General features: G+C 38.6%; 1 protein-coding gene across 13 annotated transcripts in view, besides 2 other annotated features; it reads left to right on the forward strand.

The window, feature by feature from the left end:
- Positions 1 to 15985, forward strand: part of MTUS2 (microtubule associated scaffold protein 2) — a 685985-nt gene that overhangs the window by 340823 nt on the left and 329177 nt on the right. The window lies entirely within an intron of this gene.
- Positions 1947 to 2241: a silencer, noted in NCBI's record as "tiled region #9111; K562 Repressive non-DNase unmatched - State 24:Quies". NCBI's record gives its function as "represses a minimal TATA promoter and a strong SV40 promoter by Sharpr-MPRA in K562 cells {active_cell/tissue: K562}" and the evidence as "EXISTENCE:reporter gene assay evidence [ECO:0000049][PMID:27701403]".
- Positions 1947 to 2241: an enhancer, noted in NCBI's record as "tiled region #9111; HepG2 Activating non-DNase unmatched - State 24:Quies". NCBI's record gives its function as "activates a minimal TATA promoter and a strong SV40 promoter by Sharpr-MPRA in HepG2 cells {active_cell/tissue: HepG2}" and the evidence as "EXISTENCE:reporter gene assay evidence [ECO:0000049][PMID:27701403]".

Genomic DNA, 15985 nt, shown 5'->3' on the forward strand with positions numbered 1-15985 from the left:
ATTATATCTGGATTTTCAACCACGTTGGGGTTGGCATCCCCCGCCCCTGCATAGTTCAAGGGTCAACTGTACTGATAAACACAACAACCTTGATGAATCTTCATTGATTGAGTGCAAAAAGCCAGTCCCAAAGGTTACATACTGCATGACTCCATGTATAAAACCTCAAAATGACAAAATTATAGAAACGGAGAATAGTAGTTCAAAGGGTTATGGATGAAGTAGGGTGGGATGGCTGGAGGAAGGTGAGTGTGGTTTTAAAAGGGAAGTGTGAGAGACCCTTGTGGTAAGGGAATTGTTTTGTAACTTGATTGTGGTGGCAGATGCCTGAAACTACATGTAGTAAAATTGCATAGAACTAAATATGCGTGCACACACGTGCATACACACAAATGAGTTTAGGTAAAAACAGGGAAATTAAACAAGATCAGCAGATTGTATCAATGTCTGTATCCTGATTGTGATATTGTATTATAATTTTCCAAGATGTTGCTACTGGGGGGAACTGAGTGTAGGGTGTAGAAGATTGCGCCGTATTAATTTCTCAAAATTTCATGTGAGTGATATAATTGAAGGAAAAAAATAATTTTAAAGTTATGATTTTTTGATTTGTATAAATTATATAATGCATAATTATATAACATATATTATTATAATATATAGTATACGTTATAGCTTGGTATTTATAAGAAATAAATTAATTAGTAATACAATCACTGAAGGACTTAACCAGTTTGAAATTTTCGACTCTTTTCTTGCAAGATAAAATTAATAACTTGCTCCCCGCAAGATAAAATTAATAACTTCCTCCCCTTTTCCGTAAAACTCTATGAAAGCATTGTCTATACTCATTGCACCCAATTTCTCTTCTTCCATTCTCTCTTTAATTCACTTTAATTAGGATTCATCTCCACAGTCTTACCAAAAGGTATCAACATCACCAGTACTAACTGCGGCGCCAGTTCTCAGCCCCTGCTCCCTGACCTAGCAGCATCCTCTGTCATGGCTGGCAGCGTCCCTCTTGCTGTGTTTTCTGTGTGTGGCCTCCTGGTTCCCACTCTCTGCCTCACCTCTGACAGCAGAATGCCTGCTCAGTGGCTGATCCTCTGCCCCAGTCTGCCTGCACATGCTCTCGTGGCTTTAACACCATCTGTGTGTCTGCTACTCCCACTCTTATATTTCCAGCTCACTCCTTTCTCCCGAACTGTGGATTCATTTATCTAGCTGCACACTTGACATCTACATCTCCATTTAGATATCCGCCAGACACTTCAAAATTTAGCATCCCTCCAATCACTGCCTCTGTATTCACAGAGGTCCCTTCTCTCTGTGTGTGTCTCTGTGTACAAATTTCCCCCCTTATTATAAGAACACCAGTCATATTGGCTTTAGGGCCCACTCTAATCCAATATGACCTCATCTTAACTTGATAACATCTGCAGAGACCCTGGATTCAAATATGGTCATATTCACAGGGTCTGGGTGAACGTGAATTTTAGGGGGACACTATTAACTCAGTGTACATACTCTATTAATTATATAAGTGATTTGTTTTGTTATTGTTTGACTCTTGGTTCTAGAATGTAATTTTCTTAGATGCAGGACTCTTTTTTTTTGGTCCTGATCATATCCCAAGTTCCTGATGCTTTGTCTAGCAAAGAGCAGAATCTCACTAAATTAAAGAGTGTGTTTACATCTGTGATGAATTATAATACAATGACACCCTTTTAAGGGTAGTACATGTGGACATGTCAACTTCTTTGACCATGTTTTTGAACAGATAGACAAATACAAAATACCAAGTGATCAGTTAAAACAGAGACCTTCTTTAGCCATTTGGAATAAACATCATGTCCTCTAATTTATATTCTTGCTGTATTTAAGTGACAATTTTGCTGTGTTTGATCGTATTTCTAGAGATAAAGAACCACATGAGTCTAATTCAGAGCATCCGTGCACTTGCTAACAAAGCACTTTCAGTGACTGCTGCTTCATTTCTCGCTTTCTGATGGACTGCTGAGTCACTGCAGCCAGATCATCCTCTGAGAATCTAGGACTTCGTATGCCCGAGACTTGCTGCTGCTCATTGGTGCAGCTGAGTTTGATCATTATCTGCTGTGGGCTGCAAATGGGCAGTGGCCCCAAATGCACTCTGAAGGTCAGGAGAAAATTAACTCTGTGTCTTGTCTCTAAAAGTTAGATCTTGTTCAGTTCTAACATGTGTGTGGGCATGCATATATGTATGTGTGTGATGTGTGCGCATGTATGTGTGTGCTGTAAGGAGTGTATATCACAGGGTGGAGAATAGGGTGGGGTGAGTGAGGCTTTCACAACTGGGGCATCAAAAGTCTCAGTAATCAAGATAAATAATATTTTAATGTCCTATTTTTAAAAGTTAAAAATAACATTAAAATTCACAACAAATCATCAAATTTTTAAATGAAAATGGGCTGCTGTTTATTTTATGACACTGTATTATAGTCATCAGGAACAGCCAGTGGGTCCTGGTCCTTGTGGCTGGGCTCCCGTCCCCTCGGCAGGGGTTTTCTGAGGGCTGACAGTGGTGTATGAGCAGATTGAGCCATGTGGGTATTATATATAGTCATGTTTTTATTGTATAGCTTTTATTTACTTTTTCCACTTGGTTCAAAATATGGGAGGATATTCTGACAAGTGTCTGTAGGAACACACATTTTTTTCCTTTTGCCTCATGTTCCATCATGGGTCAGCACACCCGTGTGCATATGTGTTCACGTGTGTGCATGTATGTGTTGAGTGTTCACTTGTCCATTCTAGGGGTTGGCTCTGGAACATCTATGAATGGTTAGGTGGTTGTTGGTCAGATTCAGTTAAGAGGACCCCCTACAGTTTGACTTCATTTCAGTCCCACTAGCAGATCAGGGCTATTCTGGCTGATTCCAAGGTGGTCCAGGGCACTCCTGAGCGAGCGCATGTAGGGATGTGCAGCCAGGGCTCTCTCATCCATCCTGAGTGACATTGCAACCTATGCATGAGACACTTTTTGGAGTTCACAGTGCATGCAGTCATACGTGTTAGAAAAAGCCTTTCAAACTAACCTCCATGATGTCTTCCTACACTCCAGAAATCTGGAGCCCTGATGCCCTAACAGGGTGCGGACCCCTTTGCTTGACCTTGCTTGCCCACAGCTCGAGCGCCCTTTTGCTAAACGTCGCTGAAAACTCTGCTACACGCCCTTTCTTAACTGGCTTGAAAGTGGCTCAGAAGAGTAGGAGAAAGTCCCTACTGTGCCTGTGGTTCCCGAGAGAATAGAAGATCCAGAAAGAATTGTTGTGCGGTATTTCCCCTTTTCCACACCATAAAACCTACCCAAACCTGCTTATGGGCAGTTAGGCTAGATGACTAGAAAATAAAACAGTGTGCACACAGTGCTCTGTAACCCCTCACCAGGAGCGGCCCTGTGCCCGCAACAGGCTGGAGGGCTCCCTTCTCGCTCTGCCTTTCCAGGCTCCAGTCAGCATCATTTGCTTTCCTGGCACGATTTTTGCGGTCTGCTCATGTTGTTTACATCATTATTTCTGTCCTGAAGTCAGCAGCACTGTGCATTGGGCTTAGATTTTTGACAGCGATTTTGGCAGATGTGCGCTACAGTGGGAAGACATGTAGGTATCTTACATAAATCTTAATGGTTTCAATGATTGTAAATGTCTGTGGCACTCAAAGTTGACTTCTTTTTAAAGATTGGTTATTGACAGGGTTCTTGGGGAAAAGCCTTTTTAGTTTCAGTCTATCATGTGATATAATTTGAGGTATTCTGATCCTTCATCTAGGGATGATGTATATGTGAATTAAATTCACAGCACTTTTGCACTAGAGTGGGAGCCCACAAAGAGAAAATGACTGAAGATAAGATCCTTCTTACAGCATATTAAAAAGAGTGTGCTTTCAAGGAAGAAAAATGGTGGGTGATTTCTGATACCACAAATAATTATGTATTAGCCATATAAAGTAATTTCAAGTGGGAAATAATTTCTGTCCACGTTAAGTAAAACTGTTTTAAAATCAGATGCTCTACTATTAGTAGTAAATGAAAAAAATGAAATAATTAGATAGTTTTTTCTGCCTAAGCACTGAAATTATGGGAAAGGGCTTATTTAAGGTAGAAATGTATTGTTCTGAAATATTTTAAAAATTTCTTAGAAATTCAACTCTAAGAATAGGTATTTCTCTAGACCCAGAAAAATGTTGAAAAGCTGGAATCTCAATGGCTTGCTGTGGCCCTTAAAATAGAAACTGCACTACACAGCAGGAGCTATGGAACTGTGGGCTCTTCCTCCTCCCTGCTCTCTGGTGTCATCACACATCAGTAATCCCTCACTCTCTTCACTGAAATGGCCCTGACCAGTTTTCAGGTACTTGTGTCTGAACTTCTGTCCTGCCACTGGGCCTTTGCATATTCTATTCTCACCCCAGGGCCATCCTTCCCTCCATTCTTCACAGATCTCGGCTAAAGCAACCCATCTTCAAGGAAGCTTGTCTTGACCTTCTTAACTAGATAAACCTTCGCCACCATCTCACCACACGTAACACCCTCATCATGTCTCTGTCCATTAGCTCTTATCAGAGCTGCATTTTTGTAGTTACATTTAAGATCATTCTACAGTAACTCTTGACCTCTATGTAGCCCATAGTTGCTTAAGAGCTGGGACTTAAGCCCAGTTTTGCTTATCATGATATCTGCTGTCTTTCCTGACACCTTAATATAAATTTTGGGAGGAAGTGAAAACAATGTGTGGGGCCAGTCCTTCTTTAATGGCTAATTTAAATATAAGGTAAGTAAATTGCTTTTAAAACACTTGCTGTGTTTTCAAATAAGGGTTTTATGTTTTGATGCAGTAGACGATGTTGTAGAGAAATCTTCTGTATTTATTTGGCTATCATTACAGTTTCTGCTATTAATGCAACATTAACATGTCCACTGTGTTCTGAGTGGAAGGGAAATGTTAGGGATGCAGCTCTTGTTGCTCTGAAATATTTTTTTCCTACTGTGGATGGTGGGGAATAATTAAATGCCATGAAAATTGAATTTCCACAAAATTGATGCAGTGAGGAAGCATGTCTTTCACCAAAACACTCCAAATGACAAAATGATAGAAATGCAGAATAGATGAGTAGTTCAAGAGGTTATGGACGAGGCTAGGGTGGGATGGCTGGAGGAAGGTGAGTGTGGTTTTAAAAGGGAAGTGTGAGAGATCCTTGTCGTAAGGGAATTGTTTTGTAACTTGATTGTGGTGGTGACTCATGTCAGGTTGCAGCTACTGGTGAAAACAGAACTATGCTTCCACTTTGGAAAGGATGACCTGACCACTCATTCTAAGTAGAATGAGGACACAGGACATTAAGTTCCTTGCAATATCTATTTCTCTAGGACTAAGATTTTACATGTATAATATTTACTTCTGGATTGGAAACACAAGTTACGGGATCTTTGAAACATAGTTTTACTGATCCGTAGACTTGAGGACGAAAAACAGGCCAACATGGAGAACTGACAGAAGGTTGGAGTAGAATTCCAGATATGAACCCTCTGACCAAAAGAACCCTTCAACACACCTTCTTGAACAGGCCAGCTCTTAGTCACTGGAACATGGGTACTCTTGTTCCAGCAGCTCTAGACAGAATGAGCCATGAGGCTTCTTGCTTCTGTGGATGGGTGTCAGCCCCAGACCCATTATCTGTCTCTGCCTTTCTGAATCCTCTAGTAATTCTCAGCAATAGATGTTCAGGATTTAACTGGATACAGTTTTGTTTCTAGGTTTAGAACATACTTAAATGGATAGATTTTTATTTGCCCTGGGAAGTCAGACTAGTAGCTGTTTGCATTGGTAGTTTTTATATGTATTTACATTTAGACTTTCAAAATCAACACAATACATCTTTTTAGACTTTAGCTTCCTTAAAAAGTTGTTTGAGAATTTTGCATTTAAATACTTGCCAGGTCAGTAGCCTACCATTGTTAATCATAAAATTTAATCTGTTCTTGAAGTAAAGATGTATTGTCTTGAAAAAAAATTAGTTTTAAAATAAAATTCAGCTCAATTGATCATGTTTTTAAAGTAAATGTATTTCGGTTGCTTTTCAGTATGCTCCTACTCATTCAGTTTTTCCAATAATGTAGTATCTGTGGCTGTATGATAGGAAGAACAGAAGTATCTACCAAGCCATGTGTTTTACTTAGTGTCACAAATAAGTTCTTGTGTTCTTAAGATATAATTCTTGAGTATTCTCTAGAACTGATCATTAGGCTTTTAAAAAATGAAGGATTTCTGGCTGGGCACGGTGGCTCACGCCTGTAATCCCAGCACTTTGGGAGGCCTAGGCGGGCGGATCACGAGGTCGGGAGATAGAGACCATCCTGGCTAACACCGTGAAACCTTGTTTCTACTAAAAAATACAAAAAATTAGCCGGGTGTGGTTGCGGGCGCCTGTAGTCCCAGCTACTTGGGAGGCTGAGGCAGGAGAATGGCGTGAACCTGGGAGGTGGAGCTTGCAGTGAGCCGAGATCTCACCACTGCACTCCAGCCTGGGCGACAGAGCAAGACTCTATCTCAGAAAAAAAAAAGAAGGATTTCTAATAATGTAACCACTTTTTTCTTTCTTTTTTTTTTTTTAAATAAATTACTTTCTAAGTCATTCTAGCTTAGTGGTTTATGTAAGTTGAATTGTAATGCAATCACTTCAATTGTTGAAAACTAAGAACATCTTGAACGGCTTCTAAATTTGATCATTAGAAGATAATCATATTTTTTAAATTGTCTTATTTAACCAGAAAAGTTAAAATCAAAATATATTTTATGAAAAAGGTCACAGCAAAGGACTTCATAAAGTAATACAAGTTGAGCATCCCAAGTTTGAAAATTTGTAATCCAAAATGCTCCAAAATCCAAAACTCTTTGAGCATCAACATGATGCTCAAAGCAAATGCTCACTGAAGCATTTGGGGTTTTTCAGATTTGGGATGCTCAGTCAGTAAGTATAATGCAAATATTCCCAAATCCTCCAAAATCTGAAACACTTCTCTTCCCAAACATTTCAGGTAAAGGATACGCAGATATTGTATGTATTATTCATGTATGCATAATACTGAAATAAATAGGAGTACATGACAGGCAAGAGGAAAGCAAAACCAATGTTTTTACGTCCTTTTAACTAAAATACAAAAGGAACAATGTATAATTTTGTTGAACTGACATCATTTTAAATTATATCAGCTGACATTTCATGTATCTTTTTTGACACATTTAATGTTTATATTAATTTTGAAACAAGCCAAAATAACTTACTAAATCTCAGAAAATATAGAGGAGGATATATTCTGAACATTAGCTGAATGTTTTCTATGTTACTCAGATGCCTTCCCTCGACGTTAGGTTATTAAACAAGAAACTGCTGACTTTTCAACACGTTAGCCCTTGAGTATGATTTGTGCTTGTTATGGACGTTGATGATGTTTCAGATTTCCGCTGAGCTCCACCTGCTTAGAAAAGCACCTTGTTCCATAGCCCCTAACTATTTATTAATGTTCCATCTAACATTAATAAATAATGTGAGGTGATGGCTCTGTACTTACAAAAATCTTTGGATTTTACAACCTAGCAGTCAGTGTTCTTTTGTGAATTATCTCTTCATATTCTCACAAGGAAGAGAACTGCCATTGACTTCATCTTAGAGTTGAATAGATAAATAACTAACAACTACAGTGTCAGAGCAAAGGTCGGCATTCACAATTCAGAAATCTCTCTCTATGGCTTTGCTTACTTAATTTTACCAAATGTCTGCTAATTTCCAGAACAAACAAGGAGGCCCTCATTTTTGGGCAGGAAGATGGGATAGGCGTTCAAATGTGACACTACTGACAACTGGAATATTTTATTTCTAGCCTTGTGAACAAATTTGCCCCTTCTTTATTCCACCCGAAGCCCTTAGTACCAGTATTCCAGGATCACTATGTAAGTTCTAAGGAGGAGGGATTTAAACCTGCAATTTAAGCCTGGCCCCAGGGGGAGAATGCTACTGTTTTGCAGACACCACAACACACATTTGTCTCCTTTCACTTTATGAATCTGTGTGTGTGTGTGTGTGTGTGTGTGTGTGAAGAATATGTTATAATGCCAGTATCATTTCTAGGTCATGTACAGGTCAACTCTGCCCTTATATTCACAGCTGAATCAGATGTTTGGAGTGACCACCAATGAGATGACTTTTCTTTTTAGGTTGTGACCTGCCCAAAAACTTTTGATAGGACAGCTGCCTCAGTCTTGATTTCTGTGTCCCAGGCTTGCTGGGGTACAAAAGCAAATGAAATCAAAATTAGGCCTTACTAATTTTCATAAACTGCATAGATGTTGAAGAGACTGAAATGTAATGCTTGTCATTTTATAAAAGTGAGATTTAGTAATAAAGCAAAATATTAGCTGAAGGATGGAGCTCTCTATAGACTCTCTAGTGAAATATGCTTATATTTTATAGAATAAAAAGAAGCACATTGGTAGTATGATTTATGCGTAGGTAAGACAGCTTCTTAGAATTTAAGAGTAAAATAAAAATAAAAAATATAGTTGTTTGGAAGAGAAAATGGTTCTGAGTGTGTGATTCATTCTTTTTTGTATTGGAATTTAAGAGGTGGTGCTTGCGGCAGTGAGCTTTTACCAGAAAAATAAGTCTGGCTTTTAATTTACGTGTGTGTCAGAGACATTAATCAAGTATTTGCATTATATACAGGAGACTCTTCTGGGGCTGGGTAAACATTTCAGACAGATATAGATGATATGATATATGTGTATATATTTTATACATATAAATAGAATGCCATACTTCATTCTCAGTTTAGAGATAGTCCTCCTCTTATCTATCACTTTGCTGTGCAAGTATTTAATTTTTTCTTATCCTGCTGAACTTTGATGAGCGCTTAAGGATTTTTCCAGCCAGTTCTCATGTGTGAAGCTTCAGGGTTGCCCTCTTACTGCATAAGGGCCGTGCAGCCACACCTACAGGAGGTAAAGGTGATGGCAAGCGAGTTGCAGACAAGCCTAGGACAAGGATTTGACATTTTGCATCTGCCTTTCCTATTGCCTCGCCTAGCTAAGTCCCCCAAACCTGTCACCTCTGTTTCTCTGTTGAGGGACCCCATGACCTGTCATTGCCTGACAGTTAGCAAATGGTTGTTTGCTAATGTTGATATATTAGCAAAGGTTCAAAGAAAAATCACAGTAGTGGTTGATGAGAGCATGGAGAAAGAAGTGAAGGCCTGAGAAGAATTGCCTGCAGACATGAGAACCATGGTGGAGGGACAAAGACCCTTGGGAAGGAGGATACTCAAGTGTGAGAGGATCAACTGATTTAGAGGAGGTGGAGGAAAACATACAAGAATGCAATGCATCTGATAAAGGAGGAACTTAGGATAAGGGCAAAGAGAGCTTTGCTTAGTGAGAGGAAGTGGCCACTATTACTGTTACTATTCTTGTTCTTATTGTTATTGTTCTATTACCCCCATGAATATTAACTTTACCCTCATGAGAACTAGCAACCTGAAATGAAATTGTGTGAGCAGTAACAAATTAGAGCTTAACGCCTATTCAGAGTTTCATCAACATTATGCTTCTAGTAACAGGCCACTTTTTATTAGCACTTCTGATAAAAAGGCCACGTCTGCTTCTAAGAGAGCTGTGGGGTGAAGGAAACCCTGGGGATGAATATTTTAATCAGATGACATGATTTATATAAAAATGCTGAGTGAACTGTAAAACTGAATACAGATGTTAGTAATTTAAGCCGGTTTCCAGCTGAGCCAGACCATCTGGGTTTCCTTGCTGCCCTCCACCCAAAGGTCTCCCAAATGGGGCGGGGCATTTGCTGTCAAGTACACATGTGCCTAAATGAGTCTCACACCTGGTGTTAGGGCCAACAGACAGCTTGGAGAAATGCTACCAACTCCAAATTTTCCTCCAGCCCTGGACAGTGACAGATATTCTACTTCCCATAAAGTGTGTGTCTCTTGTTGTGGTTGTTATTCAGTAATGTTGTTCTTTGAAACAGCTTTCTACATTTAGACACCATTGATAAAAACATCTTTAAAAAATGTGGCAGCCATCCCAGGCTTGAATGGCGAGGGAGTGTGGCTTACTATTTCATGAATCCTTGCATCAGGAAATAAGGTGCTCACTGACTGGTAGCCTGACTCTTAGAAATTTCCTGTACCTTTTCCAACTGTTTTCTCTGTGTTAACTGAGGATCATTGTGCATATTCTTACAAAGATAACCTGGAAACACAGGATCTCATTTAGCAGGAAGGCTTGGTGAGTGAGTGAGAGAGAGAGAGTGTGTGTGTGTGTGTGTATGTGTGTGTGTTGGGTGGGTAATTGTAGCGAATTAAATTTTCTGGTTAATGTAGGGCTAACAAGAACCATTTTTTGTTCAGGTTCTAGTGAAAATCTATTCTTCAATGCTTCATGGTCCTCCATTGCCTGATAAATATGGAACGTTGAGCACAATTGAATCCCAATTAGTGAATAAGAATCCAGCAGGACCTGAATACCTGTGGACTTTGTAGGTTGTTACACAGAAAGCACAGGTGATCAGGCCAAAATAGGATCTGTACCGGAACTTACTTTCCTGAGTCAGCAGTAATGAGACCTCACAGATGAGATGGGTCAGACAGGGACTTGTTCTGATTTATGAGAAAGATAAAGTAGACCTATTAGTAGTGGTGGAGGTGAGATCTCCAAGTAGATGAAGTCAAATGGAGGAAAAGATAAGGCATGTAAGTTACATCAGTTAGGGTCAGGTTTGTCTGCACGTGACACAAAATTCAAAACAATTATGGTTTGAACAAGATAGAATTTATTTTTCTCTTGTGTAAAATAAATCTGGAGATAGGTAGTCCAGGGTTTATATGGCATGGTGTTAGGGACCCAAGCTCCTTCTATTATATTTCTCTACCAACTGTAGTTCAATGCTTCTACCTCATAGTCCAAAATGGCTGCTTGAAATCCAGTCATTATGTCAGCATTCCAGTCAGTAGAAAGGAAAAGTAGCCAAAGAAGAGCTAGTTCCTTTTTCAAATAGCAGTTTCCAAAGTATGCACACTATAGTTCTACTTACGTCTCCTGAGTCAGAACTTAGCCATGTAGTCCCATCTAGCCGCAGGGAAGGCTGGGAAAGGTCCTGTTTCTTCCAGGTGGCCACATGCCCCACTAAAGTAATTGGGTTATATTAAGGGGAAAGGAGAGAGTGCACACAGGGAAACAACCAGCTGTCTCCGCTGTGAAGCTTGGAGAGAAAAGGTGATTGTGGTATCATGGAAACAACAACTATTTGTAGGAGTCTATGTCTGGAATCTCATGATGGCTTTGCTACTGACTCCCCATGTGACATTGGACAGGTCTCTTCAGTTTACTGAGCCTCAATCCCATCATTTTTAAAGCATGGATGCAGAACTTGACAATGTCCAAGATAACTTCCCCCTCAAACATGCTGGCTTCTATTCTCCTGAAAGTGGGTTGTCAAAACAAGACTAAAGTGATTCATGATTTTCGTTATTTGGGGTTTAGGTACATCAAGGACTGACTCTTGTTCAAGTGAGTGCAGTTTGGCCTCTGAGAAGAAAACTTTCCCAGCAAATTGAAGCATTTAATGAACTGAAGAAAATGGTGTAATGAATTAAAGGATTAGGCAGACCTGATATTTCATGGAGAATTAAATGTTGGCAATATCCAGTTCAATGTCTTCTTCAATTTAGGACTCTTGACTCTGGCTGAAATTAGCATTATAATTTATTATAATAAAATTGAATTGCACACTCAAGCTTGAAACCCTTCAAGAAGATAAAATTACAAAGAGAGACCCAGACATGGGGACTGTTTATCTCAATTAAAAATTGAGTATCTACCAAAGGCCAGGAACTAGATTAGGGACAAGGAGACATTACCAGGCTACTGTGGAGTCACAGACAAGTACATAAAACCATGTGAAGGTGTGATCATGCAGTGATTAAAATGTGTACAAAGTAGAGAAGGAAATTTTAAAAACTTTAAAACAAGGAGTCCTGCATTTTTACTTTATATTGGTCCTGCAAATAATGTAGTAGTCCTAGGTAAGACCAAATTAATCATCAAATCACTTTCTAAAAATAGATTTTTCCTCTTCATTCTTTCATTCATTCTTCCATCCAACATATATCTCGTGTACCTAGTATGTGCCAGGAACCTTCATATAGGCACCAAATTCTGATATCTGGGACTTGTTTGTGCTGGTTGTAAAATAATTGCACCTGCTTTTTTTATTGTAAACTGTTCTATAATAACTTATTTTTCTTTTCTTATTGATATTTGGTATGTTAAAATCAATATCTCTGTGTCCTCAATATTTCCTTTTTTGAGTCATCTGTTCTACTCTAAGGGTTTGTTTATGTTCACAAAGAGAAATTGAGAAGGGATGCTGTTATTTGGCAATTTCAAGTCCCAGGTTATGTAAGTCATGAGGCCAAAAGTGCTTGTCTGCCTGAATTCTCCAATCACTTGTTTCGATTTTGAAGTCCATTTTGTTTTCTCTTTAGGTCTAAATGTTAATGATTTTAAGGAAATAAGCTACAATTCAGAAGTTTATGTGACACTAAATATTTTAGAATTGGTTTACCTTCACATTTCAATTTATGCATTTCCTTATAAAGTTCTGGTGGTTTGGTCTGTCACCCATCTGTAATTTTCGTATGTCAGTGGAAGGGTTTACTAATTCAAGATATTCGTACCTTTAGTACTGTGTTAAACATCTTTCATTTCTTTAGGAAAGAATTATAGTTCAGGATGAATGATTAGGGTGGAAATAGCATATTGATTCTCTCCTGGAGATGGCTAAGATGATGAATTATTTGAACCCTTCTGAGAAGACTATCAGTGGGTCAGTACTACAGTCAAAGAAATTATATTGCTCTTCTCACTTTTATTTTGTACCTTAAATAAACCTGCATTAAAAAAACTCCCCTTATCTATTTCCTGAAATAAAAATCGCAAAAACACATCTTTGATATGAATTAACCTTCTAGGCTTAAACTTAGACTTAACATAGACTTAAATTCAAATTTTAATTGAGATTTTAAAATCTCTCCTCCCTATATGAATATTTAGATGTTTAGGTGGCATTTTCCTGTTCTATTCTATTCAGGAAATATGGACTCCTACACCCTGTAGAAGGCATATTGTGACATTGTGCTTGCAAAGGGAGTCTGATTTCATTTGATTTTATATTAATTATTAAAAAACACACCTATAAGTTAACAGTTGTTCCTTCGTGTTTCCTCCTTAAATCAGCCTTTCTTTATTGGAAAGTGTGCTTCATTTATCCCAGATGGTTCCATGCTACCTAGAAATACAATGATATGCCTACACCATTTATTTTGCGTAAGGTGGCATATTGCATGTTTGGGTGCACTCTTCATGTATTCTCTTTACCTCTGAGATGATCAAGAAACCAATTTCCTGACCACAAAAGAAGGAGGGTCCCCTGGCAGTTTGAGCATTTCTATTTACTGTTTTACCCTTGAGAAATCCTTCACACTATTTAAGCCTCAACATTTAAAAAACCAGTGAGCCATCAGAACCAGAACAGTAGCTTGCATGCTCTATTCATTAGTGTTTGTCATGGTTGTCCATACTGAATTACGGAATTTGAAGGTATATTATGCCACAGAAACAGGGTCTGGTTTGGACTGTGAGAACAAGTGATGTACAAATAAAAGATTAGCCAAACTGCATTCTGTTTTGCATTCTAAAATTACCCTCAATTTGCCTAATAAGTATGTTTTTCTCCATTGATTAGGGGCTTTATGTTTAATTCTGCTTACGGTAGTGGTTGCGGTTTTCTTATAATACCAACATAGTCCATACCATGTGGACAAGAATTTCCCCTCTGCGTAGTATTATAACACTTGGGTGGAATAAATGGAAGGGTTTGTCCCTTTATCCCAGCAGGGCACATGGTGATTATTTATGGCCAGTATTTCATGAAAAATTAAATTCCTTGAGACTTACATTTTATAAAGTTTAACTATTTGCAGAGTAAATGTAAAATGCCTGTGCCTGGCCAACATCTTTCCAGTCTAGAAATTGAAGCAGTTCGCTATTCCTTCACTGACAACCATTCAGCCTCTTCATGCCTCAATTATATTTTCAGCCAATAACATGTTCGTAAATCAAATGAATAGCTTGAATCTAAGGGGAATATTTAAGTCTTATACATAACCAGGATCTGAGAATCTTATTCTCGAGGCTCTTAACATATTGTTTAATTCTGCTTTTAGAAAATTTGCATTTTTTATTACAAGCTGGAAGTAATTTAAAACAGAAAAATTGACCCTGAAATCCAATATTATTTGTACACTGTAAATATAAAGTCTAAATTTATTCTTTAAATAATGAAAGATAAAAGAATATGCCTCTTTTGTAATGCAAAGACTAGTGGACAATAAAACATAAATATTTATGGGTCATTATAAAGGAATGGGATTTCATTCTATTTACTCCCAGGGGAAGGAGATTTGCTGTCTGTCCCTTCATAATCACAGTCATTTCCATCTGAAGCGTTCATAGGCAGTAACAGAGAAAAAAATAACAATACTCCATTGCAATAGCCATTAGACAACGGGTGTTCTCCACTTATACGTGGGCTAAAAATTGCTTTAGGATGGTAACAAAGAAAGCAGCCTGTGTAGATATCTGTCATTACTGCTTTGTGCTGACCATCAGTGACTTTGGGAAGCATTGTGGCATTTGAGGGCTACAGTATTTCCAGTGTTTTGTTAGATTGCTGAACATATTGATCTCACTAATGATTGCTTTTGGGCAAGACAATAGGGTGTTGCTAACAGAAACAGACCTTTGGCCTTATGTGGATGTGGCCAACAAATGCTGCCTGGAAATATAAGCTCTGTTATTTAGAGTCTCAACAATAGGTTTTCTTTTTTTTTTTCTGGAAACTCACAACAGAGGTTTGCTTATATCCTGTTGTGGCTGCTGAGCATTTATTTAAATATCACACATATTTTAAATTTATAATTTATTTAAACATTAAAGTACAACTGTAACAGAGACAGGCTGGCCTTGGAGTGAGCTCAACAGCCATATGTATTTATATGTTCTCTTTATGTATTTAGTGGGTTTGAAATTTACAGTCCCAACTTGGTCATAAAGAGGATTTTTTTTTTCATTCTTTCTATAGATAAATTCAACTTGGTCATCAGCTCACCGTTTCTGTGGATAAGAGAGAATATGATTTTGCTACTTCAAGGTAGCTCAGTTTCTGCAGGGTTGAAAATGTTGTCTTTTGAGTAAATATTCAATGAGTTCATTTTTTTGTTTCATTTTATTTCTGTACAGATTTCAGACTCCCTGACTGTACTGCTCTTTTTTCTCAGGTTTCCTCTTCCTTGCTCCCCATTGGCTCTTGGTTAGGAGAGAGAATTATGTAGCATCATGGTGGAGGGCAGGAGGACCTGGTTCATGTTCTGTCCTCCAGACCTCACAGCACTGAGAGATCTCATCCAGCTTAGTGTTTGGTTATCAGTCTTTATTGTCCCGGCACTCCCTACTGTGGTGTCCGTTGTGTGTTCTCTTGGAGCAGGTGCTATCTCGTGCGGCTCACAGAGCCTGTCCAGGGTCTTAGTCCACTTGGGCTGCTCAAACCTTAGACTGGGTAATTTGTAAGCAACAGAAATTTATTTCTCACAGTTCTAAAGGCTGGGAAGTCCAAGATCAAAGGCCCACTCTCTGCTTCATGACACCTCTAGCCATATCTTCAGATGGTGGAAGGGGCAAACAAGCTCCCCCAGGCCTCTTTTATAAGTTCACTAATCCCTTTCACGAGGGCTCCACCCTCATGACTTAATCACTTCCCTACAGGCCACACCTCTTAATACTATCACATTGAGAATTAGGTTTCAACATATGAATTTGGG

This window comes from Homo sapiens, chromosome 13 (genome assembly GCF_000001405.40).
Source record: "Homo sapiens chromosome 13, GRCh38.p14 Primary Assembly".
Taxonomy (NCBI): Eukaryota; Metazoa; Chordata; class Mammalia; order Primates; family Hominidae; genus Homo; species Homo sapiens.